This window comes from Homo sapiens, chromosome 6 (assembly GCF_000001405.40).
Source record: "Homo sapiens chromosome 6, GRCh38.p14 Primary Assembly".
NCBI lineage: Eukaryota > Metazoa > Chordata > Mammalia > Primates > Hominidae > Homo > Homo sapiens.
Window position 1 is genome coordinate 102,448,148 of NC_000006.12, and position 6,149 is coordinate 102,454,296.

The following is a 6,149-nucleotide window of genomic DNA, read 5'->3' on the forward strand; positions in this document are numbered from 1 at the left end:
GTATTTGCTTATGACTTAGTATTCATTTACATATATACTTTTTTCTTGAGCAACACGGGTTTGAAATGTACAGGACAACTTATACATAGATCTCCTTCTGGCTTTGCCACATCTGAGGCAAGACCAAACCTACTGCTTTTCCTCCTCGGCCTACTCAATGTGAAGATGATGAGGATGAAGACATTTATGATGATCTGCTTCAACTTGATAAATAGTAAATATATTTTTTCTTTTTTATGATTTTCTTTTTTTCATTTTTATAGCAACATTTTTACAGCTTACTTAATTGTAAGAATACAGGTAATAATGCATATAACATAAAATACAAAATCTGTGTTAATTGACTTTATTGTTTTCAATAAGGCTTCTGGTGATCAGCAGGCTATTAGCAGTTAAGTTTTTGGGAAATCAAAAGTTATGTGTGGGTTTCTGACTACACAAGTTCAGCAACCCTAATACCCATGTTGTTCAAGATTCAACTCTAGTTGAGTGCACTTTATTTCTTATTAGCACTTATATATGTTAAGTGTAATGCACAAATCTTAAGTGTGCTCTTAGATGAAGTTTGAAATATTCATTTGTCTGTGTAACCCATACTCAAGAAAATTCAGTTCATAACAACATAAAATGTTACCTCTGTATATAAAAGAAAGATCTGCACTCCAATGTTTATTGCAGCACTATTCACAATAGCCAAGATATGGAATAAAACAAAGTGTCCATCAGTGGATGAATGAATAAAGAAAATGTGGTTTATATGCACAATGAAATATTATTCAGCTGAAAAGATGGAAATCCTGTCATTTTCAGCAACATGGATGGAACTGGAAGACATTATGTTCAGTAAAATAATCCAGGCACACAGAGACAAATATCACATATTTTCACTCATATATGGGAGCTAAAACAATTAACCTTATAGAGGTAGGAAGTAGAATGATTGTTACCAGAAGCCAGGAAGGGTAGTGGGAAAAGGGTATAAAGAGGGGTTAGTTAATAAGTGAGAGATATACACTGAAATAGAAAGAACCATATCTAGTGTTTTATAGCACAATAGGATATCCACAGTTAACAACAATTTATTGTATATATCAAAAGAACTAGAAAAACGGAATGGGAATGTTCCCAACAGAAATAAATGATAAATATTTGAAGTGGTGGATATCCCAATTACCCTAATTTGATTATTACCCATAAGATTGTATCAAAATATCACATGTACCCCATAAAAACATAGAACTATTATGTATCCATAAATATTTTTATTTGTTATTTAAATCAGTTTTATTTAAGAATTTTCAATATTGACAACTCTTATAAAAAGCATCCAAGCATGGGACACAGAACTGCAGCTAGCACCAGTCTTATGGGTAGCTAACAGACATTAGAACTTCAACCCTTCTTTGAGATGCCTGACCTCACTCACGAACTCGGCTTCCAAGTACTCCTGCAAAGCACACAAGTTCAGTCCATGTTCTCAGTGTTCTCCCAACAGCTTCAGTTCGCATTAGCAAAATTACATATCAGTAACAGAAAGAAACACACACCATACAGCATTCACAGAACTTGACAAAGTGGTAGGGGGAATACACGTATTGTTTCACTTAACGCATTCAACTAATGTGGGTTATATAAGAAAAAAGTCACTAAAAGTTTCACTTAAAGTTTTCCAACAGATGTGGATGTCCTTTGAATGCAAAACACATTCATACATTATTTGCTGTCATTGCTTTCTGCACACTCTCTCACCAAAGCCACAAGTTAGAGATATATGTCTTGCCAAGTTAAAAAGTATTCATTATGCTCCACTAAGTCTTTGCATGTGCTTTCTCCTTTTCTCGCTCATACTAGCTTTTCATGCCTTGGCACCACCATCAATCACACACAAAGTTGCAAAACTTCAAAAAGCTTTCTGATTCCATATTACAGCCTTGCATCCACAGCATTGATACAACTCCATGAAATAAACAGTAATGGATAAAAATGGGACACCCACTGTCAAAGATGCGGCCTATGACACATGATGACAAATTATTGAATGAGAAAGCATGTAAACAGAAGTATACCTATGGCAAAATTTTACAGCACTACTTTCAATAAAGTACTTCCAGAAAAATTTGAAATGAGGTTAACTACAGAGATTAAATGAAGGCTTCATATTGAACTTTTGTATATGATGGTGTAATAGTTCATTTTCACGTGGCTGATAAAGACATATCCAAGTGTGGGTAATTTATAAAAAGAGATTTAATGGACAGTTCCACATGCCCGGGGATGCCTCACAATCATGGCAGAAGGTAAAAGACACTTCTTACATGGTGAGAAGAGAGAGAGAATGAAACCAAGCAAGAGTTTTCCCCTTATAAAACCATTAGATCTGGTGAGACATATTCAATACCTCCAGAACAATATGGGGAAAACTGCCCCTGTGATTCAGTTATCTCCCACTGGGTCCTGCCTACAACACATGGGAATTATGGGAACCACAGTTCAAGATGAGATTTGGGTGGAGACACAGGCAAACCATATCTTTCTGCACCTAGCCTTTCTCAAATCTCATGTCCTTACATTTCAAAACCAATCATTCTTTCCCAACAGTCCTCCAAAGTCTTCACTAATTTCAGCATTAACTTAAAAGTCCACAGTCTGAAGTCTCATCTGAGACAAGGCAAGTCCCTTTGGCCTATGAGCCTGTAAAATCAAAAGCAAGTTAGTTACTTCCTGCATACAATGGGGTACAGGCATTTGGATAAATACGCTCACTCCAAATTGGAAAAATGAGCCAAAACAAAGTGGCTAAAGGCCCCATGCAAGCCCAAAATCCAGCAGGGCAGTCAAATATTAAAGCTCCAAAATGATCTCCTTTGACTCCATGTCTCACATCCAGGTCAAGCTGATGCAAAAGGTGGGTTCACATGGTCCTGGTCAGCTCTACCCCTGTGGCTTTGCAGAGTACAGCCTCTCTCCAGGCTGCTTTCAGAGGCTGGCATTGAGTGTCTGTGGCTTTTCCAGGTGCATGATGGAAGCTGTCAGTGGATCTACCATTATGGGGTCTGGAGGATGGTGGTGCTCTTCTCACAGCTCCACTAGGCAGTGCCCCAGTAGGGACTCTACGTGGGACTCCCACCCCACATTTCCTTTCCACAATGCCCTAACAGAGGTTCTCCATGAGAGCCCCACCCCTGCAGCAAACATCTGCTTGGATATCCATGTGTTTCCATACATTCTCTGAAATTGAGGCAGAGGTTCCCAAACCCCAATTCTTGGCTTCTGTGTACCCGCAGGCTCAGCACCACGTGGAAGCTGAAAAGGCTTGTGACTTACATCCTCTGAAGCCATGGTCAGAGCTGTACCTTAGCCCCTTTTAGCCATGGCTAGAGTGGCTGGGATGCAGGGCACCAAGTACAAGTCTGTATATAGCAGGCAGGGGCTCCTGGGTCCAGCTCACAAAACCATTTTTTTCTCCTAGGCCTCTGGGCCTATTATGGGAGGGGCTGCCATAAATAGCTCTGACATGCCCTGCAGACATTTTTCCCATTGTCTTGGTGGTTAACTTTTGGCTCCTCATTACTTATGTACATTTCTGCAGCAACTTAAATTTTTCCTTAGAAAATGGCTGTTTCTTTTCTATTGCATGGTCAGGCTGCAAATTTTCCAAATTTTTATACTCTGTTTCCCTTTTAAAGCTGAATGCTGTTAACAGAACCCAACATTACCTCTTGAATGCTTTGGTACTTAGAAATTTCTTCTGCCAGATACCCTAAGTCATCTCCCTCAAGTTCAAAGTTTCACAAAATCTCTAGGGCAGACGCAAAATGCCAACAGTCTCTTTGCTAGACAATAGCAAGAGTCACCTTTACTCCAATTCCTGACAAGTTCCTCATCTCCATCTGAGACCACCTCAGCCTGGATTTCATTGTCCATCTCATTATCAGTATTTTGGTCAAAGCCATTCAACAAGTCTCTAGAAAGTTCCAAACTTTCCCCCATTTTCTTGTCTTCTTCTGAGCCCTCCAAAGTATTCCAATCTCTGCCTGTTACCCAGTTCCAAAGTCACTGCCACAGTTTTGGGTATCTTCAGAGAAGCACCCCACTCTACCAGTACCAATTTACTGTATTAGTCTGTTTTCAGGCTGCTGATAAAGACATACCCAAGACTGGGTATTTTATAAAGAAAAAGCAGTTTAATGGACTCACAGTTCCATGTGGCTGGGGAGGTCTCACAATCATGGCAGAAGGCTAAAGGCACTTCTTACCTGGCAGTAGCAAGAGAGAATGAAAGCAAGCAAAAAGGATTTCCCCTTATAAAACCATCACATCTGGTGAGACTTGTTCACTACCTTGAGAACAGTATGGGGAAACTGCTCCCATGATTCAATTATTTCCCACTGGGTCCTTCCCACAACACATGGAAATTGTGGGAGCTACAATTCAAGATGAGATTTGTAAAAACGAAAACAAAAGAACTAAACACTTGACACCATGATCTCTCCAAAAGAGATTTTCTTAAGGAAAAAAAATTCATATGATGGGGTTTAAATTAAAACAAGAAGAAAAGAATATAGTTTAATCAATGGTTTCCATTTTGAATGAGGACAGAATTGACATGTCCACGGATAAAATGTTATAGAGGAATCCTTTTGATATCAATTATATACTATTTATTTGTCAAGTTAGGCTAACACATTTCACTTTCAATCACTCAATATTTCAACCCTTTATGTAACAAAATTTATAAAATCCCATTAGCTATTCCTCTTTTTTTAAAGAAAAATGTTAAAAATACTGCTGAATATACTCCACATGTGACAAACCAATTTTGAAAGTTCTTAGTACATATGTATTTTATGTATACTTACCATGAGTTTAGAAAAATTTGTAATTTCACCGTTTGATTCCAACCAACCATACCCCCCAAGTCTGTATTTTCCAGCCAGAAGACTTAGAACCCATACTTGAGCTAAAGTCTCAGTTAAAACCACTGCCTGACCCTGCAGTTCATTCCACCCTCCATGTTCTACCTTGATTGTTTCTCAGGTCTGCTCCACTCCCACTACAGTTACCAAATCCGCTCTGATTCCCAAAGCTACCTGGAAACCACCAAATCTTCCACCTTTTTCTGTCTATTGCTATTGTGCTTACACTTGCATTGGATATATGTATGCTGATTCCCTTAATAATCAAGTCCTCTCCACAAAGAGACTGGGCAAGCTAATCATCTGCAATGTAAGAAAGGCAAAGTCCCTGAATGGTTTGGAAATGAAGACATCTATCACTTCTCTGCAATGACCAAAGAACTGCTGCAGCTTATCAGAATTCATAATCTCTGTACAACACCCCACAAACATCTTTTTGCTTCTCAAAGTCTCATTCAGTGTTTGCTTTAGAGTTAGGAACTGTACAGTCACACCATCATCTATCTGTCTTATGTTGCTGTGACATTCTTTCACCTGGGTTTCATATTTTATAAAATGAACAAAGCCAAACCCCTTTGAATAGCCAGTTCTAACATCCTTCTTGACCTGAACCATAAGAATTTCTCCAAAGGTACTGAAATATTCTTTCAGATCCTGTTCAGTTGTTTTCCATGGGAGACCCAACACTGCTAAAGCAGATGTTTTCTGGACTGCTCTTTTCACTTTTATGGCTAATGAAGTATCTGTCTTTTCCCTTTTTCTGTAGTTATCTACAGAATAGTTGACAACGTACACCAAATTTCCCCAGCCAGCACTGGGGGCATGCAGAATTCCTTCTACCAGCAGACACTCCTAATACCTGAGACACTGGAATCCTGTAGGGGAGCCCACATGCCCCTGGAAACTGGACTGTAACCGTGGGCAGCAGCACTGTTCTATCATCTTCTGATGGTATTTCAATGGGCTCATAATTCTTGTCTCTAGTTACCTGAATACATGCAGATATTTTTTATTTTTCTGCTAGGCCACTGCTAGGAAGCCCAGTAGGGCCACTGAGGCAGCTACAGATCCAACAGCAGCCCAGCTACTTCTTCTTTCTCACAAAATTCTGAACCATGTTCTCTCCTGGCCTTCCTTGCCAACCCATGCTCATATACCTCAGAAGCATACCATATGGAATCTTCTGGTTCCGACTTTTTTAACCAAGCCTAAAATCTGGAATATTCATTCATG

General features: G+C 39.2%; 1 pseudogene; it reads right to left on the reverse strand.

The window, feature by feature from the left end:
- Positions 1-5,919, reverse strand: part of TARDBPP5 (TARDBP pseudogene 5) — a 46,702-nt pseudogene extending 40,783 nt beyond the window's left edge.
- Positions 5,920-6,149: the final 230 nt, after the last annotated feature.